This window comes from Homo sapiens, chromosome 2 (genome assembly GCF_000001405.40).
Source record: "Homo sapiens chromosome 2, GRCh38.p14 Primary Assembly".
Taxonomy (NCBI): Eukaryota; Metazoa; Chordata; class Mammalia; order Primates; family Hominidae; genus Homo; species Homo sapiens.
The window spans coordinates 87,028,919-87,055,912 of record NC_000002.12 but is presented as its reverse complement, the minus strand read 5'-3'; the positions used below and the strand labels follow the sequence as shown (position 1 = coordinate 87,055,912).

The 26,994-nt window shown below is 39.0% G+C and overlaps 1 pseudogene across 1 annotated transcript in view; it reads left to right on the top strand.

Moving 5' to 3' along the window:
- Positions 1-25,238, top strand: part of ANAPC1P2 (ANAPC1 pseudogene 2) — a 45,739-nt pseudogene extending 20,501 nt beyond the window's left edge. Inside the window, exons 2-11 of the transcript NR_026846.1 lie at positions 113-255; positions 2,921-3,099; positions 6,110-6,324; positions 8,607-8,725; positions 11,929-12,200; positions 18,385-18,619; positions 21,670-21,761; positions 23,710-23,844; positions 24,015-24,097; positions 25,006-25,238. The product of NR_026846.1 is annotated as an ANAPC1 pseudogene 2 (transcript). The remainder of the gene's footprint in view (positions 1-112; positions 256-2,920; positions 3,100-6,109; positions 6,325-8,606; positions 8,726-11,928; positions 12,201-18,384; positions 18,620-21,669; positions 21,762-23,709; positions 23,845-24,014; positions 24,098-25,005) is intronic.
- Positions 25,239-26,994: the final 1,756 nt, after the last annotated feature.

Genomic DNA, 26,994 nt, shown 5'->3' with positions numbered 1-26,994 from the left:
TGGTTTTTCTTCACTTTTCTTCCATCTTTCATGGTCCAAAAGGCCCATTAGAAACTTGCCATCTTTGGGTTTGCTTAAGTGAGTAACCAATCCTTCCTTTGTTTTTTTATAGGCCAAGATGCTGAATTATCAGGGACACTTTGACTTGTTTTGACACAGTGCTGTAAAAGAATAAAGGATACTGTTCAAAAATTGGCCTCCGACCACAAAGACATCCACAGCAGTGTTTCTCGGGTTGGAAAAGCCATTGATAAGGTATGGTATTGAAAGAAGTGTTTTGTATTTTTTAGCATCATTCTTTTTCTTCTGTCAGTGCTTTGATAATACTAGCTTTCACAAATTACTTTATGCTATTCCTGTCATGTTTGCTTTTGATGACTTTTACAGGTCTAGTTTTACTATGTTATTCTTACTAAAGTTCCTTGTTGCTATTATTTAAAAAATAAAAGCAAAATTAAAACCCTCTGCTTTTATAGCTTTGTTGTTTATCCATTTGCATATATGACTAGAGCTCCTAGGGTCATGATAAATAAAGTTCCAAAGAAATTTTAACCCAGTATGTGGGAGTTTGTTTACCAGAAATAACTTTTCCTAATTCCTGAATAATTCCCTAGCTGTGACTCTGTCTCTGTTATGGGATGATTAGAATAACAGCCTTGTATCAGTCTCCCCTGCATCATCCTAACTGTTTTCTTCCTATGGGCGTCCCAGCTACCTTTCAATTTTGCCTTCTGTGTGAATGAGTGAGTGGGTTGGTTGCTAGGCAGTGAGGCTGGTCACTTTGATTTGATGTTTTTTTTCTTGTGACATTTTTTGAGTAAGCCATCTTTGACCTGGTGGTTGACTTATAAGCAGTTACCATTTTTAGTACCAGCTGATTTTATTCATGGAGTTCATAGTCCTATTGGCACCTAAGAGAAGTAGTTCAAGGTTACTGTGTGATACCTCTGACTACTTCAAACATTGGGGAGATTGTGACTGGTTGGGGCATTTCTCTTCACACATCGTAAATGTCTGGGAGGGTAGGAAGAACTTTCGAGGAGTGCCCTTTGTAGCAAAGGCATCTTCTAAACAGTCTTATGAGTTAACTTAGTCTGTACTCACAAGAGTGATAGTTGTAACAGAGGTAATAGAAGCTCATTGAATCTGGAGAGTGGTTCGTGTAACTCATGGGTAGACCCAACTGTTAGAAATTATCCTGTGAAAAGGCTAGGCTTGACGCTGCTTGAGTCAGAACTATATGCTTATAAGGCAATACTGTTCACTGGTAGGTGTGGTATGACAAGACTGTGAGTGGCATGGGCTCAGAGGACTTGTTTTGGTAGTTGTGGCTTACAGAAGTGTTAGTGGCCTTTCAGAGAGTTCTCACTACTCCCATAGTGGTGTGAGGGGTTTGACTTGGCCAGAGAGTCGGAGGGTGGTTTTGGCAGCAGCAGGGTTCCAGCCACGTTGTTATGTCAGTGATGGCAGTCACCAGCAAAGTCTGGGAAGGCAGACTTTGGGGAGATTGTGACTGGGGAGACTGTGGGGAGATTGAGACTTTGGGGAGATTGTGAAATGGCTTTGAGGTTGTGAAGCCTGTTTGGTAACTCCAAGAGAGTGAACACAGTTTTAGAAGTGGGTTTGGCATCAACCCTCTCTGGTACTATGATATTTGAAGTCTTCAGTTGGTTCCTGGAGTGGTTGTTGGTGTGTATGAGCTTAAGAACTGTGGGAGTGGTGGTGGGACACTTTATTTTCTTCCAGCAGCTGTATCCTTCTAGAATGTGATGGGGCACTTTAGAGATGGTCTTCATTTGTGGGTGAAGAACCCTCAGTTCCTCTAGAGGTACGGTAACTACCGGTGGTGTCTAAGAAGATTCACATTTTGATGTTGACAGTGACCAAGGCATCCTGGTGATTCTAAATGGCTCAAAGTTCAGAGAGAACCCCAGGAAGTTCTTGGGGACATCTGCTTGACCACCAGGCTGCCTGCAGTTATAACAGAAGGTCAGCATTTGGACAGTAGAACCAAAGGTGGTATGACAGTGAGAAGAGCTAAAGCTTCCAAGGCAGCCAATCAGAGATTCTTGGAATAAGGGGGGATGGGCTCAGCAACTATAATTCTAGTGTGTGGGCTACTGACCAGGATCTGGAGCAGTTGGGCAAATAATTCACCAATTATGCTTTCTGCAGCTGGTAGGGTGACCATATATGCCATGTATGTCCCTGTTTCCTAGTTTATGTTTTTTGTCCTGTCATGATGATCAGAATCTTCTTCTGCTCTTGTGGATCACAAGGTCAGGAGATGGAGACCATCCTGGCTAATACGGTGAAACCCTGTCTCTACTTAAAAAAAATTACAAAAAAAATTAGCCGGGCATGGTGGCGGGCGCCTGTAGTCCCAGCTACTCGGGAGGCTGAGGCAGGAGAATGGCGTGAACCCGGGAGGAGGAGCTTGCAGTGAGCCAAGATCGCGCCACTGCACTCCATCCTGGGCGACAGAGCGAGACTCCATCTCAAAAAAAAAAAAAAAAAAAAGAATAAAAAGAATTATTATTGCTCTACATAGTTGCCAACATTTAGTATTGATTGGCTTTGACATTTATATTTCTCAGTAGCTTTAATTTGCATTTTCCTGATCACTAATTAGGTAGAGCATCTTTTCATATGCATGTTGCCCATTTATGTTTCCCCTTCTAGGAAATGTCTTTTTGTCCTTTATATTTTTCTATTAGATTGTCTTTTTTTCTTCAGGTTTTTACAAGTTCTTTCAAAGAGACTTCCTATACTAGTCCTTGATGTCAAGACATTAGTCTGGTAGTAAGATGAATAAAATGAACTTATTTGTCAGGATAGATATTGTTGCCAACTTCAGTCAGGATAATTGGGACAGTGGCGAGTCTAAATTAAAATTTTTCTCTCTTCCTTTAACCATTAGGATTCACTTTAAGAGATTTGGAAACTCTTCCCTTTGGAATTGCTCTTCCCATCAGAGATGCAATTTATCACTGTCGTGAACAGCCTGCCTCAGACTGGCCAGAAGCTGTCTGTCTCTTGATTGGACGTCAGGATCTTTCCAAGCAGGCCTGCGAAGGAAACTTACCCAAAGGGAAGTCTGTGAGTATCAACATAGAAAGTTCAGAGTTCCAATTTTAGCCTTAAATAAAATCATAAAGTAGAAATGTTCTTCATTTTCCTTTAAGGCTTTTTCTAAGTATATATATTAGCTTGTCTTTTATATTATATGCCAGACGGGGTTTGTAATTGTACGCGTCTTATTAATTGTTAAGATGAGCATTAGGAGCAGGAGATTTTGTGAATGTTCTGTCTTGTGCCTGGATCTTTCTTTGCCTTGAATCAGGACAAGTCCTGAGGGTAGTCATGGAAACTACCATGGCTATTTCCCTACTTGTACCATATTAGTAATTAACCACTTTGTAATTATTACATAGGAAAAGGGAGAGCACATATATCCTGAATTTGGATGAGTAATTATATATAAGTATTTTCTACTGCATATTTTTTGATGTGTTGAATTTTTTGAATTTAACCTTTTAAATAGGTGTAAACATATTTGTTTAATCACATAAAACTGCAGCCCCAGGGAAAAAATGTGTTTTTTTCAGTAGAGTTGTTTAAAAACATGTCTTAAGCTATCCCTCCCGAAATACTGTCTTTCATCAGTCATCAAGTCTGTTTTTTTTTTTAAATGAGTTCTAGGAATCCTGCAAGTAGAAAGTTAAATTATTTCATTACTCTCCAATTATCTTTTTAAATCATCCTCAAAACTTGAAAATGAAACTTTTAAAACTTATTCTAGAATTCTAGGTAACTTTAAAAAATGAACAGTAGAATCTCATCAAGGAGGATTCAGGAATAATAATTCCACTCCTGGTGACTCTTTTATGTTCATGTCCCTGAGAAGACAGTGGGAATTTGGCCTTGCCTCTTAGTAGCTTTTGAATCAATACATAATAATCAGTACATTGTAACTACGAGTCACCTTAGGTCTTATTACTACTTCTTCAGAGCCTATATCAAAACTTATTCCTAACCTCAGAGTTGCCTAATGTGTACCCATGCCGGAGTCAGTTTCCATGGGCATCTGATCTCCAGCAGGGTCATCCCAGCATCTCTCTCCTTTAATCTGCGCCTCTATCACAGCTCTTCGTTGAATTAGTATTTACATCCTGTTTTAAACAGAAAACAAATCTTTTTGCTTATAAAATGATTTTCCTGTGAGAGAGAGCAGTTCAGCACCATTAGCATTAAAACATTAATCTGTATTTGAACGTGATTTTAAGTAATTATGTCTAAATACAGTTTGTTCAGTTATTTGAGGCTACATTTTATAATTAATCCCATCTAAATTTATTTTGTCACTGTTTGAGACTATGTTTTATAGCTAACTCACCCATTAGAATACAGTTTTTTTTTTAAATTAGATATTTTGTAGGAACTAAAAATGAATTTTTAGGAACTAAAAGTGATTATTTGGTCGTATCTACTTTTTTTTCAGGCTGACCTTGTTGGTTTCACATTAAATGTTGCAAAACTTTAACATTTCAACTTGGAGTTATTCTTTTGTTAAAAGAGTATAATACTGTTTTTGAGAGAATATGATATGATTCCATGCAATTCACATCTGTGTTGCAGTTAGATTTAATTATTTGGACTGGGAAGCCCCATATTAAAGCACATGCTGGGCTTAGAACATGATGACAATCAAGGAATTTACCCTCTTACTTGTTTCGCTGCAGTTCAGTACTTTTCCTTCTAAGAAATTTTTATTGGAAACACATTTTTTAAAAAATAGTGAAAACTGGCTGGGTGTGGTGGCGCATGCCTGTAATCTCAGCACTTTGGGGTGGCCAAGGCGGAGGACTGCTTGAGCCCAGGAGTTTGAGACCAGCCTAGGCAACATAGTGAGACCTCATCTCTACTTAAACAATTTTTTAAAAAATTTAGCCAGGTGTGGTGGTATGTGCCTGTAGTCCTAGCTATTTGGGAGGCTGAGGTGGGTGGATCTCCTTGAGGTCATGAGTTCAAGACCAGCCTGGCCAACAGGGCAAGACTCTGTCTCTACAAAAAATAAAAAAAATTAGCTGGGTGGCCAGTGCACATATGTAGTCCCAGCTACTCGGGAGGCTAAGGTTGAAAGATCGCTTGAGTCCAAGAGGTGGAGGTTGCAGGGAGCCATGATCACACCACTGTACTCCAGCCTGAGTGACAGAGTAAGACCCTGTCTCAAAAAAAAAAAAAAACTTAATAATGAAATCCAACCATGATCCTGTCTATTAAAAGTAGTAAAGTAAGAAAGTATTTCATTGTGTGACTTCCCCCAACCCTTGGTGTATATCCTTTCAGGCTTTTTTCCTTCTCCTTCTATTAATGAACAGACAATATTTAAATTAGCATTATTAGCAGTGACTAGTATTCATATTCTACTTGCAATAATTTCTTTTTTAAAATGATCAGGATGAGTTAGATTTTTTTTTATAGTTTATTCAGAATATTTCTCTGTTTGTATCCAGCCCCTTGACTGTTGTCCTAAATTTAAACTCTCCCCGTCATTTCCAAATATTTCCAAGTAGGCAATGTAGTACTTTTGTTTGTTTGTTTGTTTTGTTTGTTTGTTTGTTTGAGACAGAATCTCACTCTGTCACCCAGGCTGGAGTACAGTGGCACGATCTCGGCTCACTGCAACCTTTGCCTCCCGCGTTCAAGTGATTCTCCAGCCTCAGCCTCCCCAGTAGCTGGGACTACAGGCGTGCGCCACTGTGTCTGGCTAGCTAATTTTTGTATTTTTAGTAGAGACCGGGTTTCACCATGTTGGCCAGGCTGGTCTGGAACCCCTGGCCTCGGGTGATCCGCCCACCTCGGCCTCCCAAAGTGCTGGGATTACAGAGTGTGAGCCACCACACCCGGCCAGCAATATAGTACTTTTTAGAAAGATTTGTAGATTAGAGTCCCAGTATACATTGCGGCTCCAACCCATGCCTGCTTTGGAAAACATATTTTCTCTGTGCTAGTATAGTCATGACACATCAGCCTATATATCCTCATGTTCAGCAAGTGCATGTTAACTGCTTTTGAAATTATTATTACAATAAAGTCTGTTACTCAGGTGCTCTCATCAGATGTTCCTTCAGGAACAGAAACTGAGGAGGAAGATGACGGCATGAATGACATGAATCACGAGGTCATGTCATTAATATGGAGTGAAGATTTAAGGGTGCAGGATGTGCGAAGGCTTCTTCAGAGTGCGCATCCTGTCCGTGTCAATGTAGTGCAGTACCCAGAGCTCAGTGACCACGAGTTCATCGAGGAAAAGGAAAACAGGTGAAAGAAAACACGTGCACTATCTCTTGTCATGTTTCATTGTTACATTTGTGTCTTGTGTATATTTGTTTTTCCTTCAAGTTTTTAGCACTTAAAACCCTAAAGAGATTTAAAAGATACTTTCAAGTGAAAATATGCCCTGTGTTTTAAGTTTTCATCCAACTTCAACAAACCACGTGTGTTAGCAAAATGTCTTTGGCTTTTGAGGACGTAATTGTTGTATTTCATATCGTCCTCCTCTTGAAATACATATAACACTTTACTCTTTAGAAAAGGTGAATGTAAAACTATTTTGCCTGATAGTTACCTTAAGAATTTACAAACAAAGAAAACACTGGACTTGTTTTTCTGTGTCTTGATCAGGAATAGATTTTGAGGTTAGTGGGGTTTTTAGTGTAGTTTAAACTTATATGAGTATTTTTTTTTTTTTGGATATGATAGATGATACTCCAAATAAAAATAGATAAGCCTTTCTTCTGCCACTCCCCTGCACAGGATACATCCCTTGATACATTATAAGACTCACATGCCTATGACATTCCAGAGCTATTCTCTTGGGACACTTCTGTTTTAAAATTCTCTCCTGTTCTTTTATCTGCTTGTCTCTATCATCTATCATTCATCTGCCACTGTTTTCTAGTTCTCTTTACTTTTTTTATGGTACTGTTTTGAGGGGAACCATCACCCACACTTAGCCACAGGCTGCTGAAGATCTGAATTAGTTGTGATTTCCCTATTAACTGTTTCCTCTCCACATGTACCCAGTTATTAGTCACCTGTGAATAAAAAGATGGAGTGACAGAAGTTGAGTTTAGAGCATAGGATTTATGAGCATGGCCTCTAGAGCCAGGCATGGCCATGCTGTGCTGGGTGACTTTGGTTAAATTACTTTACCTCTTGTTGCCTCAGTTTCTTCATTTGTAAAAGTAGGCATACTTCATGGGATGGTGCTGTGTATCAAGTGAATTATTTTTACATAGCACTTAGAATACTGCTCAATACATAGTAAAGCTCAGTGCAGTCAGCCATTATTAGTAGTAGAGTTCATTGATTCTAAGATGCAAGTTTTTTCACTTTTTAATATCTCTGAAATCAGTTGTGTATTTCAGTGAACAGGCGTCATAGTTTAATTGGCAGTGCTTTTTCTTTCTTAGTTTCTCATGAAATAATGATACATCTTATGAGTGGCATCTTATATTCAGGGGATATAATATTGTTCTCATTATAATTTTGTTACTTGTGCAAAGTTGAAGTGAATTATGTGTAAGATTTCCTCTAAAAAAATTCTATGGGTTGCAACAGACTCTTGGCTTTGAATTTTCCTGATCCCAAATTAATGTTGCGGTTGTGTTCCCAGAGAATCTTTAAGACAGCAAAATTTTTCTTTCCAGTTAGCTAGAAAAGCAGTTATGTGTGTCCAGTTAAGGAGGGTGTATGCTTATGAATAGCTTTGTCTGCAGAGAAAATGTTTGTCAGTTGTCAGCCTCTGAAGGGATATTTCTGTGTCTTCAGATATAGCTTGTATAGGCGTTTCTTAGTTATAAATGCCCTACTTCCAAAATTTCTGTTAGTTTTTTTTAAGTGGCTATATGGAATGTTAAGCTATTTTAACATAGGAAGAAGTTGAAGAGTGGTGTATTAATTTCACAGTAGAGCCAACAGAAACCATTTTAACCTTGAACATACCTGATACATAATGGTATTAGTCCTATAAATCTAGCCATCATGTAAGTGAAACCAATCTGTATTTCCCTTGGAGACACCATGAAATCCATTCACCTCTAACACAAGGACCTTGTTTCTTTTCTTGTGTACAGGCCACAGAAATGGTACTTCTGAGGCTGTATTGGCAAAAGGGATGGGAGGAGGATCCCACATGTACTGAGGACAGCTAGACTGAAATTAACACAGTGATAAAAACCCCAAAAGTACTGTATTTTCCTTTGAGAAGGTTAGCATCCATCGGAGTGGAATTTTAAATTTCTTTTTTTTTTTTGAATGCCTAGAGAGAGTCGGCTTGGTTTATAGGCCAGGTGGTTTTCATTCAATGTAAATATGAAACAAAACAGAGGAAATATGTCTCTCCCTAAGAGTGTAATAGGAACAAGAATATTAAAATGAAAATAATCATGTTTGGGTAGTTCACTCACATCTGTGTATGAATTTACTTTGAGACAACTTCATCTTATACAGTACACCTTCTTTTGAAATACTTACAGATGATATTTCAATTGCTCTTTGCTTTAAACATTTTCACATGTTGGTTTTTACTTTAATTACAGATTGCTCCAATTGTGTCAGCGAACTATGGCTCTTCCTGTAGGACGAGGAATGTTTACCTTGTTTTCGTACCATCCTGTTCCAACAGAGCCATTGCCTATTCCTAAATTGAATCTGACTGGTATGTTAAATTCTGGGCTCAATGAGAAAGGAAAATGATTAAGTACATGCATTAAGTGTAGTTCTTTAAATTAGTTAAAACAAAAGAAATGCTCCCTCTATCCCCAGTGATTTAAAATTTTCCTAATAGCTGCTGTAGTGGTTATCAAAGCTCAAATGCCATGTGAAACTAAACTTTGAGAGAAGCAGAATATAGTTCATTACTCATTTTTGCTTTTTAATGAGGTGATTTCAAGATCTAAAAAGTCACTTGGAGAAGTTCAGAAAGATATTATTGATAACGATGAGACTTGAATTTTAAATAATCTTAAGTTTAATATGTAAAAATATTTAGTTTTAAAATGTCTTACGTCATAGTTTAAACAGATGATCATTGTATAAATCAAGAAATGTACTAAGCAAAAAGAGAAACAATGGTCACTTGCAGTACTCCCACTCTTCTGCATCACTCCTTTTAACATTTTAGTATATATGTTTACTAAGTTTATTTCCACATATTTATAATTTTATATTTGTTTAATTATCAGAAAATTTATATCTATTTTAGATTTTTTTAAAAATTTACAGTGAACATCCTTTTATATCTAGCAAATAAATGTATGTGTTTATAATTATGTGTATGTATTGTATACACGTGTTTTTAATCAATACATTCATTTTTATTTGCTTCAGAGTATTTCATTCAGCGGATATACCATAGTTTATAGAAGCAGCCTGGTATTGTTGGAAATTACAGTTTTTTGGTATTATAAACATTGTTGGGGCGTATTCGTCCTGTGTATTTAGGCTAAATGCTTAGAAGTAGAACTCTTAGGACAGCAAGATGAATGGTTTTAAGGAACATGTCAAATTGCCTTTCTGGCTGGCACAAGTTTTTATTTCTGCCATATATAACTGTAGTTATAATCTTGATTACAATGAATTTTATAGTGCATGTCCCCCTAATGCTGATTTGAATGTGTTCTAAAGGTGACAATTACATAGTTGAAATTATCACTGAAACTCTATTATAGTATATATGGTTTTGTGAAACCTATACAAAATGTATGTATAATGTATGTTGTAGTAGTGTATAGTATATGTGGTAGCATATAATGTATAATTTAATATATGATAAATAGTACATAATATATGCAAACATAATTATACAGTATTTTAAATTGCATACTTTAAAAAATCCAGAGTTCCACTCAGATTTGTGAAAAGCTTGTGCTTTGAGCAGCATGCAGGAAATGAGATTGACTAAGTGAAAGAACACATTCCCATCTCCATACCATGCTTATTCTGAGCCCTAATCTCACTGAGGGACATAGTGAGCAGAGTGGCTTTTAATATTTAAATTGTCTCAGAGGTAAAGCACCTATGGCAAAATTTTAACAATTATTGATTCTTGATGGAAGGCATGGTATATAGATGTTCATTTTAGTAGTCTTTCCAACTGTTTATATGAAAGATTTCATATACTAAGTGCAGATTAAAAAGAAAATCTAATGCAAAATTGGCAAATGTTAAAATGTATTCAATCTGGGTGATTTAGCACTCAAGTGATACTTGGGTGGGTTTAAAAAATATATACATGCATCTTTTTTTCTGAATACATTTAATTGAATTTGCATGATTTAAAATGTGTTTATGACATTAATCCAACATTTTATTCTTTTAGTCATTCTGGTAGGCCAAAAAGAAAGGTTATCCTCTTAATTTAGGAAAGAATATTTTCTTAAATAGTTGCTTAACCCACACTGATGTGGCCTGTTGTACTTTTGTATGTTGTTATTCTCATTGAAGAAAATTTACCTTACCCTTTGCATTTTATTTTCTCTCGTGTATAAATATTATGTCTCTTGCATATGATGAATGAATGTTTCAGAAAGGTCACTCAGTTTTTTCATATTGATATGTCTGCCTTTTTTGAGAAAGTACAAGTGTAACTTATGAACTTATTACTCATTGTGGTGCTAACACTAGCAGTTGAGTTAGCTTTTAGGTACAAAAAGCATATAGTAAAGACAAATAAGTCTTACTTTGTGCTTTGTGTGTGTATGTGTACATGCTACAAATAAGACACTTTGCATCTACTTAAAATTTATTTTACATAACATCTTAGAACTCTTTAAAAATGGTATTTTTAAAGCTGCAGTGAAATGGATAACTTTATGCAGTAATTAAAATATTTATGTTAATTATTTTATCCATGACTTAAGACAATATTCAAAATATATTTAAAAAGATTCAATGTTTGCTGTGTATAATGTAGATCAAAAAGAAAAGAATCAAGAAAAAATTCGTAGGGAACATATAGCATTGTGAACATATAATTTACATTGTTCTTAAATAAATGGACCGTAAAAGTATAATCTGGTGAATGCCCTTTTGAAGTTCCCTGGGTGACTCAAGTCTATAAAAGGATGCTTTTTACAAAACTATCTCTAAGCATTTTAAACGATAGCATATAATTAGATATCTATATCTGTATGTATATATAGAGAGAGAGAGAAAAAAAGAGAGAGAAGGGGGCATATATAGGTAAGACCTGTAGCAGATTTATTAAGGTTCTTGTTTCCTTTTTTTTTTTCTTTTTTGAGATGCAGTCTCTGTCTGCTGCCCAGGTGGGAGTGCAATGGCATGATCTTGGCTCACTGCAACCTCTGCCTCCCAGGTTCAAGTGATTCTCATGCCTTAGCCTCCCAAGTAGCTGGGACAGGCACGCACCACCAGGCCTGGCTTTTGTCTTTTCTTAAGATGTCATTTTTCCTTAATGTCTAGGGGAAAATATAGGATAGAACATTTGAAATTAACATCAGTGTCATCAGATGTTGGGATTTATAACTTGTATAGTTTAACAGTGATGTTAGTCTTCACTTTGGTTTTTAAGCTCTCTGTTTGAAAGAAAAAATGAGTGATTATCCCAGTCATCTCTGTATAATGTTAAATTGGTATCAGTTATCTCATTATATAGCCTCATACATTTTAACAAAAAGGACAATGAACTGTTTAGACAGTGAAGGTTTTTCCAGTTCCATTAAGTTTGACTCACATGTACAAAAGTTTTAAGTGGTCATAGAGACCTAACGTTCCAGGCATTATGGGGTTAATGGTTTTGAATGTAGAAAACGTAAGTAATCTTAGTCTCAAAGATCTAAATTTAACAATCTTGGTTTTGTGGATTTTTATTCTCTCAATGTTCTTCGTTTGGCTGGATAGGGCGTGCCCCTCCTCGGAACACAACAGTAGACCTTAATAGTGGAAACATCGATGTGCCTCCCAACATGACAAGCTGGGCCAGCTTTCATAATGGTGTGGCTGCTGGCCTGAAGATAGCTCCTGCCTCCCAGATCGACTCAGCTTGGATTGTTTACAATAAGCCCAAGCATGCTGAGTTGGCCAATGAGTATGCTGGCTTTCTCATGGCTCTGGGTTTGAATGGGCACCTTACCAAGCTGGCGACTCTCAATATCCATGACTACTTGACCAAGGTGAGACCTGTGCTCCCAGTGCCTGGCTTTGTGCCTTGGCTGGCTATTGTAGTAGCTCCTAATTGCTCTATTTGCTCTTCTTTCTTCATTCTTGTACTTCTAAGTCCATTTGTCTCATAGTACATGGAATAATCTTTCTAAAGCATAAATCAGAGTATGTCACTTCCCTGGTCAAAGCCATTTAATTAATGATCTCCCATTGCTTTTTTTTTTTTTTTTTTTCCCTGAGTAAGGCAGAGTAGAATTTAATGAGTGACAAGAAAGCTCTCAACAGCGAGAGGGGACCCGAAGGTGGGTTGCCAGCCACGAGGCTGAGTCTAGAGGTTTTTATGGGCTTGAAATGGGGGAAGTGCATGCTGATTGGTCTGTGGGTATGCTTGAAAAAGCACCATTTAGAAATAGGCACGATAGTGTAGAGGACCAACTGGGGAAGGGCAGGTATATGTAAAGTAGGTGAAGGATAAGGACCAATCAGGAGAGAGCATGCCAAACAGGAATGAGAGCTCTCTAGTCCATGGATTTATCCAGAACTTGTAGCTTGGTTTTCAGGCTTTCGACTGTCCTTGGCTTGAAGGTTGAGTTTCATCTGAGAATTTACCTGCCTCCTACCGCCATCAATCCCCGCTCTGAAGAGGTATATCTAACTGCTGTTCGGATAGGGGTGATGACTGTTCTGCTTCATGCTGACAGAGGGTGTTGTTTTGGGAAACAGCAGTCAGGTCTCTCTTAGAGGCCTATCTAAGTGTCCCCTGGTAAAAGAGAGCCATCAACCGAGGTTCCATTTGCATGACCACTTGGAGTTTGATGGCCTCTAGGCGAGAAAAAACAAATTTTACAAGGAGGTTAAGTACACATGGACCAAATATGAGTATTACAATGAGAACACAAAGAGGAACTAAAAGGGGGAAAATCCATGCCCATATATTAGGGACACCTAGAAAGGACAGGAAGAAAACCTCTGAAAATGGACTGTTCTATTCCAGGATTTTGCAAAATAGGGTTGTCATGGGCATGTCCCCCTAGATTATTAGATATGTTATAATTAGGCATTGCAATGCTTTTAATTAGATTTCTGATCCATAGGCTGCAGAATCCAGTAATGCCTGATAATCCCTTTAGTTAGCTGAGGGTCTTGGGGAGAAGGAAGGAGAAAATGGATCCAATTCTCTCCTCGCCCAGTGTCCTGGTCCCTTCTGACAAGACCAGGCATAGGTACTTCACTGAAGTCTGACGGAGTTGAGCCTTGGACTTTGAAACTTTATGTCCTCTGTCAGTTAGAAAATTAAGAAGAGCCTTATTGCTTTTCTGAGAAATTTCCTCAGTTGGGGCACAGAGTAGAGTGTAATCTACATATTAAGACTAACTTGAGTTTGAAAGAACTCAGAGAGATCTTTTTGAGATTGCCTGCCCAAACAGGTGGGGGCTGTCTTGGAATCCCTGTGGTAACACCATCCAGGTTAGCTGGGTAGTCTGGTTGGAGGGATCCCTGAATGCAAACAAGTTTTGGGAGTTGGGGTATAATGGTATGCAGAAAAAAAGCATCTTTTAATTCCAAGAATGCAAACCATTTAGTTCCTTCAGGTATCTAAGTTAACAAAGTATAGGGATTGGGAACCACTGGGTAAATTGGTTAATTACACCAGTTACTCATTAAGGAGGTGGAGATCCTGGACCAGTCTCCATTCCCTGTTGGGTTTCTTTCTGTACTTCCAATATTAGGATATTACAAGGACTGTCACAGGGTTTAACAAGGCCCTGCATCCTTAGGTTATTAATGATGGCTTCTAGTTGTTTCCTAGCTTCTGGTTTTAGGGGATATTGTCTTTAATTAGGGAAGGAGATGAGATCCCTGAGATGGATTTGGACTGGTGAGACTGTTGTAGCTCAGCCAGTATTTTCCTGAATTGCCCAAACACCTGGATTAATATCAGTCTCCACCAGAGGGAGGCAAAGAGTCTGTCCTGGAGCCATAAGGATGGTGGTTCCCATGTGAGCTAAAATATCCCTACCTCAGAGGAGTCGGGCTTTCAGGTATGATTAAAAAGGCATAGGTAAACGAAAGGTCTCCCTAGGTACAGCTAAGGGATTGAGAAAAATATCGAGTCAGAGGCTTTCCTGAGACGCCCCTCACAGTTGTGCTAAGGGAGGAGGGGAGGCCCAGAATGGAGAGGAGAACAGGAATGGCTGCTCTGGTGTTGAGTAGGAAGTCTGTCCTCTGAGTCCTTTGACCTCCAGACTCACCCGGGACTCCTGGATGGTAATGCAGCCTGGGCTGTCAGAGCTGGGGAGGAGAGCCCTGGGACCCATCAGTCCTGCTGGACCATTTGAGAAGCCGGCTCTGAACCTTGGGACGTATGTTTCTGGAGGCAGTTTGTCTTCCAGTAGTCTCCCTTACAGATTGGACAGGGCCGTGGGGGCTGCTTCTGATTTCGGGGGCAGACTCTCTTTTAGTGCTCCCACACTGATAACAGTCGGTCATAGAATGAGAAGCTCCCTGGGATCGAGAGGTTTATATGCCTGTATGGCAGCTATTAGTGCCTCTGCCTTTTTCTCGTTCCTTTTCTCCCTTTTTCTTGGGCTTCCTCATGGTCCCGATTATAAAAGACCAAGGTGGTGACTTTCAGGATTTTCTTTAGAGTACTGTCTGGTGCAATAGCTAACTTTTTGCAGCATTCTTCCAATATTTGGGGCTGCTTGGGTTATAAACTTGTCTTTCAAAATTAACTATCCTTTTATAGAGTCAGGAGAGAGATGTGTGTTTAATTAAAGCCTCTCTCAGTTTTTTCCAGGAAAACAGAAGGGTTCTCTTCAGACCCTTGGTTTATGGTTGATAACTTAATGTAATTGAGAGATTTGCCTCTAGTTTTCAGATCTTCCACTGTGCATCCCTAAAAATGTTTTCTCGGCCACTTTCCTAGAGCAGTGTCTGAGTCCCATTGAGGATTATTGGTGGATGCTGCCTGCTTGGCTGTCAGAAAGGGCTCCCTAATTTCTTCCCCCTTTTGGTAGGTGCCATAATAAGATAAACATTTCATCTCCAAATGTCTCAGTGACCTGTAAAGCCGCCTGCTTCTCTGAAGCTCTAAGAGTCTAGTTGAGAAGTAACATGATACCCTTCCATGAAAGCTCAGACATTTGATTAAGGTTCTGAAAGGCTTCAATATACCTATCCAGGTCGACACAATTGTCCTAGATTTCTTTTTATCTGCCTCAAATCTTGTAAAGAAAAGGGGACTTGTACTTTGATAGGACCATATTCACTATGCATTTCCTGTAAAGGAAGAAGTGATGCTGGAGCGCATCCAGGTCGAACTCTTCTAACAGGATGAGGTTCAAAAGGGGGCCTGGATAAGGGGGACGAGATGATCCAAGAGGAGCTGGGACCTGGGCTGGTGCAGGGGCCTCTGTCTCCTCTTCTAAGGAGGCAGACTGTTTTTTCCCTTCTGTCTGGATTAAGTCTGGCTGGATATCACTGCTATAAGTGCAAGGTCTATTATACATTGCTGACAGAGCTTGCGGTTATTCTGCAGGGCAAAAAAGGCCTATACATATGGAATTTTGGACCATTTTCCTTCTCTGTGGTTGAAGAGATCTAGCTATAGGATAGTATTATAGTTGTTATTTTCCCCAGCTGACTAGGTCTCCCCATCTTCCAACTTCTAGCTGGGCCAAGCCTTGCTACTGATAAATACCAGGTATTTTTTCTTCAGAGTCTGAGGATCAAAGGAGTCCCAATGTCTCGCACTTGAGAGGAGTGCAGGCTACCCATTTAGAAAGAGAGAGGGGAGAAAAAGGCATCCTTAGTCTTTCCCTCTGCTGTGCTAGAGTCCAAGGCGTCTCTCAGGCTTACCTTGGTCGTGGATGTGCGCGCAGCCACCATTCATGACCAGGGGGGGATCAAGCCAGCAGGAGTAGTTGCGTTCACTTGCACTCAGCCTTGACCCTCCTTGTCAACTGCCTTTGATTTCTCTGAATTCTATATGAGCTCAAGACTAAGATGAATCCGGGGGGGTCCCTGCATATTATTTGTCTATAATTCTCATCTGGCTGGCAGTTTATTTAGCTTCATCAAGCATAACCCAGCATCCTGCCCTGAAAAGAAGCAATTTCTCAAAGAGACACATAACTAAGTAACATTTCTCAGAAGAGCAGTAGGAAAAACATGATAGGAAAGATTGGAAGTCTTTGTCCGACACCTGAACAGGCTGTTGGGGACTGGGGGCCGGTGTAGGGTCCTTCGGATGTACCCTTGGCCAGATACCTTTAGTTGCCCCAGGACCTTATTCTGATCCCACACGATGGCTGAACTTCTGTGAAGGGAAACTGGTTTAGAACAAGGCCAAAATTCCCAACACCAGAGGGCAAAGGGGGATCGACCATTGCTCTTAATATACATTCTAGGAGCTGGTGTGATCCTGTTCACTTCTCCAGCCCTAGGTGGTACCACTGTTCTTCGTTTTTTTTTTTTTTTTTTTTTTTTTTTTGATGTGGAGTCTCACCCTGTCACCTAGGCTGGAGTGCAGTGGTGTGATCTCGTCTCACTGCAACCTCTACCTCCCAGGTTCAAGCAATTCTCCTGCCTCAGCCTTCTGAGTAGCTGGGATTACAGGTGCACACTACCACACCTGCGTAATTTTTGTATTTTTGATGGAAACAGGGTTTCACCATGTTGGCCAGGCTGGTCTTGAACTCCTGATCTCAGGTGATCTGCCCGCTTCAGCCTCCCAAAGTGCTGGGATTATAGGCGTGAGCCTCTGCACCCAGCCCCACTCTTCTTGCTCCCCCACACTCTAACCATACAGATTGGCTATTTTAGCTCTCTGGCAAACTAAACTCTTTCACTTCACAGCGTTATTTTTTTTTTAAGGAATCTTTATTTATATAAATATATAAAATTCACATACCATACAATTCACTGTTTAAAGTGTGTGGTACAGTGGTTTTTAGTACATTCACAGAGTTGTGCATCCATCACCACTGTTAATTTTAGAACATCTTTTCACCCCATAAAGGAACCTTGTACCCACTAGTGGTGACTCCCCATTCCTCTACCTCACCCCCCCACCTTCACTTCACTTCCTGCCAACCACTAATCTACTTTCCGTGTCTATGGGTTTGCCTTTTCTGGACCTTTCATATGAACGGAGTCATACAAAATATGGTATTTTAGGATGGGCTTCTTTCACTTAGCCTGATAATTTTAGGGTTCATCCATGTTGTACCATCTATCAGCAATACATTCCTTTTTATTGTTGAATAAATGTTTTATTTTATGAATGTACATTTTATTCATAAGTTGATGAACATTTGGGTTATTTGTACTTTTTAGCTATTACGAATAATACTGCTATGAACATTTGTATACATGTTTTTGTGCGGATGTATGTTTTCATTACTCAAGAGTAATGAAGTAATGGTAAGTAGTGGTACATACTTAGGAGTGGAATTGCTGGGTTATATGGTAACTCTGTTAAACTTTTTGAGGAACTGTAAACTGTTTTCCATAATGACTGCACCATTATACAACCCCATCAGCAATACATGAGAGTTCCAATCTCTCCATATTTTTGCCAACACTTGTTATATTGTGTTGAGTCCAGCCTCATTCTTTTGAATGTGTCCTTCCACTTGTCCCAGCACTGTTTTTTGAAGACTGCCCTTTACCTGTTGAATTGTCTTGGCACCCTTGTGGTCAGTTGATGTTAATGTGAGGGTTCATTTCTGAATCGCCTCAGAGCCATTTATTTACATGCTGTTTTATCACCTGAAACAGTCTTCCTCACCTTCTAAACTTGAGTGTCCTCTTTCCTGCCACTGTTCCTGGCTAATTTGTTTTCATCCTTCAGGTCCTAATATAAATTTCTTTGTATAATCTTTAGAGATTTCATCCCTAATAATCCTCTAGTCCCTCCCAATCTAAATTAAGCTATTTTAAAATACTCTTTCATAATACTTTGTACTTTCTTATTGTACTACTTTTTAATAATATATTTGTTTATGTTTTTTAATTTAACACTTTTTTTCCTATTAAGTCATTAGGTCCATGAGAGCAAGGACCATGTTTGTTTAGTTTACTGCTGTATTCTCAGTGCCTCTCACCTTGCCTGTCAACATAAAAGTACTTCTTGAAAGTGGCAGGCAGTATTTTATTTTAAACTATGTATTTGTTTTGTTTCTATCTTAGGGCCATGAAATGACAAGCATTGGACTGCTACTTGGTGTTTCTGCTGCAAAACTAGGCACCATGGATATGTCTATTACTCGGCTTCTTAGCATTCGCATTCCTGCTCTCTTACCCCCAACGTCCACAGAGCTGGATGTTCCTCACAATGTCCAAGTGGCTGCAGTGGTTGGCATTGGCCTTGTATATCAAGGGACAGCTCACAGACATACTGCAGAAGTCCTGTTGGCTGAGATAGGTATGGGATTAATAGTGCTGAATCTTCATAGGCATGTACTCTCCACTCCACATTAACCCAATTAAATAGTAAAATTATAAAAATTAAGGAAAGACAATGGTAGCTTTTGTGAGCAAAGAATGATCTAGTACTAATTAAAAAAAACAACAAAACTCTAAGTAATGTTATCCAAGGCTAATGTAACTGCAGGTTATTAACCTCCATGTTTATTTGCTAGCTCATTACTGAATTCCAGTGGTCACATTTAATGAGGTACCTGTGGTTTTAATCAGCTATGAGTATGCTGTTTATCCGGCTTTACCAGCAGTGTCTAGCAGTGGCCTGCACTTAAAACTCAGAGTAGATTGTTTTGGTCCCTGAGAGACACTAAACTAAACACATCACAGTGTTTACTGTGTTGGATAACAGCACTTCCAATAGAAGTCAAGTAATGGACTCCTGCTTTCCTCCTTTACATGCTGGTGGGTATGTTGGTGATGAACCTGGAAATGGTAAGGTCCACACACTCACTTTAGTGAACATTGTCTCTGTTTTTTATTGGGTCCAAACTTTTTGGAAATCTTAATGTGTTGTCATCTTTTTCTGCCAAATGGAAATGCTATTGGCATTATTAATATGCTCAACAATTTAGTTACATACTTATATGTCCTATTCAAGATCTTTTCTATATGGATTTGTGAATATATTGTTAAAGATGTATTATTCTTTAGTATCATTGTATCAGATAGCTATTGCCACAGTGATGCTACATACATACAGGCATAGCATTGGCCCAGGCAGCTCTGCTTTAGGCTGTAGATGTGTAGCCGGCTGTTCTGCTGCCGTTCTGCCTCACCTGCCTCATTCTGGGACCCAGGCTGGAGGGTGTGTTTCTCTCGTGGTGTTGATAGAAACCTAGGAGAGAACCAGTGAAGATTGGGACCCATAATTTAGTCTACTATAATGATAAATGAAATTATTCCCAAAGTTGAAATGTTTTGGCTATCACAATACATGGTAGCATAAGTCAGAGATCTGAAAAACGCTTATTCTGAAAATATTCAACACTGGTTGTTAAAGCATGTTCATCTGCAAAGTAGTCTACCCTTCTTTGGCTATATCATGATGATGTCTAATGGTGTCATTGCACAGTCTCACAGCTGCGGCATACCTCTTTCACACTGTATATAGAAGATTTCATCTTTAATTCATATGTATATGCCTTTTTATATAATTACTGTCAGAATGTACATTAAAAAAAATTTTTTTTTTTTTTGAGAGAGTCTTGCTCTGTTGCCCAGCCTGGAGTATAGTGGTGCAATCTTGGCTCATTGCAAGCTCCGCCTCCCGGGTTCACGCCATTCTCCTGCCTCAGCCTTCCGAGTAGCTGGGACTACAGGCGCCCGCCACTACGCCTGGCTAATTATTGTGTATTTTTAGTAGAGACAGGGTTTCATGGTGTTAGCCAGGATAGTCTGGATCTCCTGACCTTGTGATCCGCCTGTCTCAGCCTCCCAAAGTGCTGGGATTGCAGGCGTGAGCCACCGTGCCCAGCCTAAAAATTGTTTTTATAGATCATTGTTATAAATGGGTTTTAAAACACATTTTGTATAATATTCATTGAGTTGATGGTCTGTAAAATGCCTTTTTTTAACTTTTAGAACCTTTTAGATTGTTTCTAATAATCCTTTGTTGTTATGTATAAACATTACACTGATTACCTTTGTGTGTGATTTTTTCTTTAATTTTTATTATTTATTTATTTATTTAGAGACAGAGTCTCGCTCTGTCACCCAGGCTGGAGCGGAGTGGCGCGATCTCGGTTCACTGCAGCCTCTGCCTCCCAGGTTCAAGCAATTCTCCTGCCTCAGCCTACCAAGTAGCTGGGATTACAGGTGTCTGTCAGCATGCCTGGCTAATTTTTGTAGTTTTAGTAGAGATGGGATTTCTCCATGTCAGACAGGCTGGTCTCGAACTCGTTGACCTCAAGTGATCCACCTGCCTTGGCCTCCCAAAGTGCTGGGATTACAGGCAAGGGCCACCACGCCCAGCCTTTTTTCTTTTTTTTTAAATTGCATTTTTTTCCTATAGGGATAAAATTTCAGGAATGTGAACATTTTTTCAGAGGGAAGGGTTTTAATACATAGTACATTTTGTCGTTTTCAACAAGGTAGTGTTAGAGTTATAGGGTGCTTTTAAAAGTGTGAATTTTGTATCCAGTCAGACTTCTAGGATCAGTACACAGAAATTCTACCATAGTAGGGCTCATTATTATATACACTCGAAATAAATGTCTAAACATAGTATTTAACAGCTTAACAACGTAAGTAAGTGACCTCCTTATTCATTATCATCATTCGAACATGTTTCACCACATGTGATGTGTGGATTTGAAAGTAATGAAAACAAAATGTAAGATATTTTGTTGTTGTTGTTGCTGAGATGGTGTCTCACTCTGTCGCCCAGGCTGGAGTGCAGTGACCTGATTTTGGCTCACTGCAACCTCCGCCTCCCAGGTTCAAGCGATTCTCCTGCCTCAGCCTCCCGAGTAGCTGGGATTACAGGCACCTGCCACCCTGGCTAATTTTTGTATTTTTAGTAGAGACAGGGTTTCACCATGTTGGCCATCTGGTCTCCAACTCCTGACCTCAAGTGATCCACCTGCCTCAGCCTCCCAAAGTGCTGGGATTACAGGCATGAGCCAGCACACCTGGCCGAGATGTTTTAAAAAAAATAATAAAACTTTTTTTTGAATACTCTTACCTTTTTTCCTTTAAAATTTTTTTCTACTACTTGGTAATTTTTTTGATAAGACTCAAAGTTTCACAGTATTTGAATATCATTGCTTATAAAGACTTAAATTGGCAATTTAAAAAGAACTATTTTGGGCCCTTTTTTTTTGGTAGGTAAACCTACAGTTGTGGACATCATTTATTATAGTGTCATAACTTTCTGAATAGTTATATCCCATTCGTATCTCCAGTGCAACTTGCTAGAAAGTTAACTCTAAGATTTTTATGAGATGAGATTTTGAGAAGCTAGTTTGAACTGTGTTGCTTTTGTTTTTACAGGACGGCCTCCTGGTCCTGAAATGGAATACTGCACTGACAGAAAGTCATACTCCTTAGCTGCTGGCTTGGCCCTGGGCATGGTCTGCTTGGGGGTAAGCATAGCCTATGCCTTCCCATGCTTCAGTTAGGACATCTACATGTTGAGACAAATAACGTTGACACCTAAACCTGAATATTGTCCCTTACTACGACTTAATCTTCTGCCCAGCTCTCTTGTCTTTTTGGATATTTTTCAAGGTACCAGATTTGCAAATTGAGAGAAACTGTGGTCAAGAGTGAGACTTTAAGATTTCTTTTCCTCCAGCTTACAGTGTTCATGAACAAACTAAAGGGAATAAAGTTTTTTTTTTAAAGTGTTCAAGACATAGAATGAATAAGTGACAGCCCACTATGACTGAAAACAGAGAATAGTGAAAATGTATATGATCAGGAGCCTTAAGAGTCTATAGTAGCTGCTTGAAACAAACCCTAACCCCCTTTTGCCATAGTGATGTTCACTGTGTATCCCAGAATGTTGTCCCAGTAGCATCTTCCTTGTGACAAAATGCAGTATCAGATTGACCCATCTTTAACTCCATCCAAGAGATGTGTACAGAATTACCAGAAATGTTTCATTAAATGATTGTTTCACTTGAAATGTGGTTCCCCTTGAAAAACCACCAATACATTCTTATGGTCAAACTAAATGATATAAAGAAAGTTATAAGGCAAGGTGATCGGATCACCTGAGATCAGGGGTTCGAGACCAACCTGACCAACATGGAGAAACCCCATCTCTACTAAAAATACAGAATTAGCCAGGTGTGGTGGCGCATGCCTGTAATCCCAGCTACTCGGGAGGCTGAGGCAGGACAATCGCTTGAACCCAGGAGGCAGAGGTTGTGATGAATCAAGATCACACCATTGCACTCCAGCCTGGGCAACAAGAGTGAGACTCCATCTTAAAAAAAAAAGTTGTAGTGGAAGGAATTTTTTCTCATGTGTGTTCTGAAAATCCACCTCGTGGTTGACCATCTATTAGGGCCTTGAATTCACATTGGCACGTGAGCTAAAGAGGCTGGTGGTATAATGGAAAATAATCAGCTGGGTGTGGTGGCTCATGCCTGTAATCCCAGCACTTTGGGAGGCCGAGATGGGCGGATCACGAGGTCAGGAGATCCAGACCATCCTGTCTAACACGGTGAAACCCCGTCTCTACTAAAAATACAAAAAAAATTAGCCAGGCATGGTGGTGGGCGCTTGTAGTTCCAGCTACTCGGGAGGCTGAGGCAGGAGAATGGTGTGAACCCAGGAGGCGGAGCTTGCAGAGAGTCGAGATCGTGCCACTGCACTCCAGCCTGGGCAAGAAGGCGAGACTCCGTCTCAAAAAAAAAAGAAAGGAATCACACAGGGAATTGCAACTTGAATTCTGGTCCTAACTAGTGAGTCAAGTCATTTAACTACATTATTGTCTATTGCTTAATCAGCTTCATGGATTGTTGAACCAGATGGCCGTGTTTTATATATAGCCCTGCAACTTACTATAATAGCTGTATAACCTTGGGCTTAATCCCTCTTTGCCACACTTTCCTTATTTATAAAATAGGGTTTTAATAGTAGCTATTTGATATGGCTGTTCATTCATGTTAAACACACAGAATAGTGCCTGACACAGAGCATGCATTTAATAAATTACTATTATTATCATAGTTATTGTTGGAAAAGTTCTTAAGTACAATAATGAAAGTATTCAGATATTTACAGTTCAGGTTTCAATTATATAACTAATATTTTTCTTTATTGTTAAATGTAACTAACTCTAAAGCTCTTATGTATTTTAAGACAGTACTTAAAGTTGAACATTCATGTATTAAAACTTTTATGAGAATTATTAATATTTATTAACTCATGATTAATGTTTGCTTTAAGTTGGAAATAAAAAAAACAAAACCCGAAATAACCTGCTTTGAAGTTAGTTCATTTTTATATTTGTTATGGGTATGTGTTATGGATCTTCCTCCATAAAATTTCTTTTCACTCGTCTGTTATTGTCTTTTCCAGCACGGCAGCAATTTGATAGGTATGTCTGATCTCAATGTGCCTGAGCAGCTCTATCAGTACATGGTTGGAGGACATAGGCGCTTTCAAACAGGAATGCATAGGGAGAAACATAAATCACCAAGTTATCAAATCAAAGTAAGTACACAGCAAAGTAATAGATCAAAAGTCTGGAAGCTGGGAAGTTAATTGGAAAATACTAGTGTTCATCCTGACATTGGTAAATATGTTAATTTTAAGCATACTTATCAGAGGAATTTTATAAAAATTTAGAACTCTTTTACATGCATAAACTCTTCTTTCAATAGGAAGGAGATACCATAAATGTGGATGTGACTTGTCCAGGTGCTACTCTAGCTTTGGCTATGATCTACTTAAAAACCAATAACAGGTATTTCTACCCACTCACCCTTCCTCCCACGGTGATAGTGTGATATCCTCTCTGACCTTGGTTGTAAAATTCAGTTATCTCATGTGTTTCTTTCCCCTGTGCTGGATTAAGCTGATTTTCGTTCTTTCAAGTACTGTAAGTTTTTGAAAGAAAACTGGCAGTATTTGAAGTTATAAAGATTTTACCTAGAAATGTATTTGGCTATTTTAATTGTATTTGACAATATAGTTTTCAATTTCTGTTCATTTCTGTTTTGTAGTTGATGTCAGTAACACCCAAACAATGCCCATGTTTGTTTTCATTAATTTAGCATATTGCTGTGAGGACTGGTTAAGCCAGAAATACTTATCATTAGTGTGATCTTGGCTACCATGTAAAACAATGGTTTTTGCCTACTTCAAGAGCTTTTGTAATTACCAAACCGTCTACCTTCCTAACTTGCTATATTAATGCTGATGCTTGAAAGTAAGATCTTTGGCATTTATGCTTACACGTTGCATGAAGAGTAAGTTGAGTACAACATGTTATGCCATGTATTAAGTCTATTAATTAAAAACAAATTCTAAGATTCAAGGAGCTTTTCAGTGTTCCACATTTCTCCCTTTAGAAAAAGTAAATGTGTGCAGAATTAACAAAGTGTTTAAAAATAGATATTTATTATTTTACTATTTGGATGAATGTGTAGGGCAGTGCTTCCTTGGCACTGGGGATATTTCATTGAGCAAAACTAAAAATATCTTCCCTCATGGAGTTTATGTTATAGTAAGACATACGTGTACCTCTATAATAACTATTACGTTAGAAGGTATAAAGTATTGTGAAAAATATATAGAGCAGTAGTGGAGTGGGAAGAAATGTTTTGAAATAGAGCTTGAGATTCTTGATTGTCTTGCCCTCTACTTGAACAGTGTCTTCTAGGAAGCCCAGACACATGGAGAAGTTCTGAGTGTTTTGGCCGATAGTCCCAGATGAGGTTCCAGCAACAGCTGGGATCACCCATGAGATGTGAGTGAGGAAGGCTTTGAGATGGTTTCAGCCCTAGCCACCACTGACCTCATAAGAGACCACAAGAATGAGAATCACCTGGCCAAGCCCAGCAGACCTTCAGAATTCAGAAATAAAATAATTCATCTTATTTTAAGCCACTGTGTTTTGGTTTGATTCATCCCATAGCAAAAGGCAACTTCAGCAGGCCCTTTCTGAGGCTCTGGAGGGGCCCTGGCAATGTATCCATTTGGTCATTTGCTTTTGACAAAAGCAGACATTTTAGCTGTAATTGGCTAAAATTCTGATCTCTTTCTGCCCTCATGTTGGGTGGTGGTGGAGTGGATGTGGGCATTTTGAGGATCCAGCAAAAGAAGAATTGAGTCATTGAGTTTGGGTTCCATGGGATTTATTTATGTGGTATGGAGTCATTTCTGTGTATTTTATTGCTAGCTGTCCCTGTGTAAAACAGATTCAGAATAGTCTTCACCTCCCTCGTGCTGATTTACCTGGTGGTGTAATGTAAATATGCAAGACCATAGATTACATCACGATTGTGTCACATGACATGTGCATTTGCAGGAACATGGATGGAGCTGGAGGCCATTATTCTCAGCAAACTAACACAAGAACAGAAAACCAAATATCGCATGTTCTCACTTATAAGTGGGAGCTAAATGATGAGAACACATGGACACATCGAGGGGAACAACACACACTGGGGCCCATCAGGGTTGGAGGATGGGAAGAGAGACAGCATCAGGAAAAATAACTAATGAGTACTAGGCTTAATACCTGGGTGATGAAATAATCTGCACAACAAACCCCCATGACACATGTTTACCTATGTAACAACCCTGCACTTTTATCCCTGAACTTAAAATAAAAGTTGAATAAGAAAAATAGAAATGTACAAAGCTAGAAAAGAGTGTAGCTCATCCCATCTGGGAATTATTCCAAATCTTACAGTTCATACATAAAAATAGTTTGATAAAGATTTTCCTAAGTGTGCCAAGAATCCTGAAAACTTATCTTCCATTATCGATCCTGAGCTATGAAGCCAGAAGAAAAATTTAAATCTATCAATAATAAAATACTAGAGCCAAAATAGTTTATTATTCTCTTCTCTCATAGACTATGATATTACAACATTATTGAAGAGGCAATCAAAGAATATGCAGGCAAAAATGTTGGGAAAGGAGTATTACAGAGATAGGTCAGGAATTTGTTTAATTAAAATTGCTATTTTACTGAGTTTTACATATGTTTAGTGGTAGCGGTAGCTAGAGTAGACTTTGCTGGAGTCTGGGCCATTGAGATTGGTATTATTAAGGTTATGTTGGCCTCATTTGCTCTTACCTTCTGGCATACACAGGATACATCTCACTTGATTTCTCACAAGTCTTTGGTACCCATGACCACTCCCACCTTTTTACAATTTTCACTTTTGCTGGCTTCTCTGGACTCACACTGTCAATTTTCCCCTCTGGCTAACTGTTCTCAGTCATCTCTACAGAATTCTCTTCTTCTGGGTCCTTGTGTTGTTGAGGGCTTTATCCTAGGGCTTATTTTTTTCTCTCTGAGCAAGCTTGTCCACCCCCATTGCTTCAGTCCCACCTATCTGCTGACAACTGCTGATTCCACATCTCCAGCTCAGACCTCTTTCCTAGGCTCTACACCAGGAATTGGCAAACTTTTTCTGTAAAGCGATGATAACAAATATTTTATCGGCTTGCTGGTCATTGTACTGTCTCTGTCACATCTGCTCAACTCTGCTAAGGTGGTGCAAATATAGCCACAGAAAATAGTAAAAGAATGGGTGTGGCCATGTTCCAATAAAACTTGATTTATAAAAATAAGCCTGCTTCATGGGCTATAGTTTGCCAACTCCTGTTCTAAACCAGAATATTCAA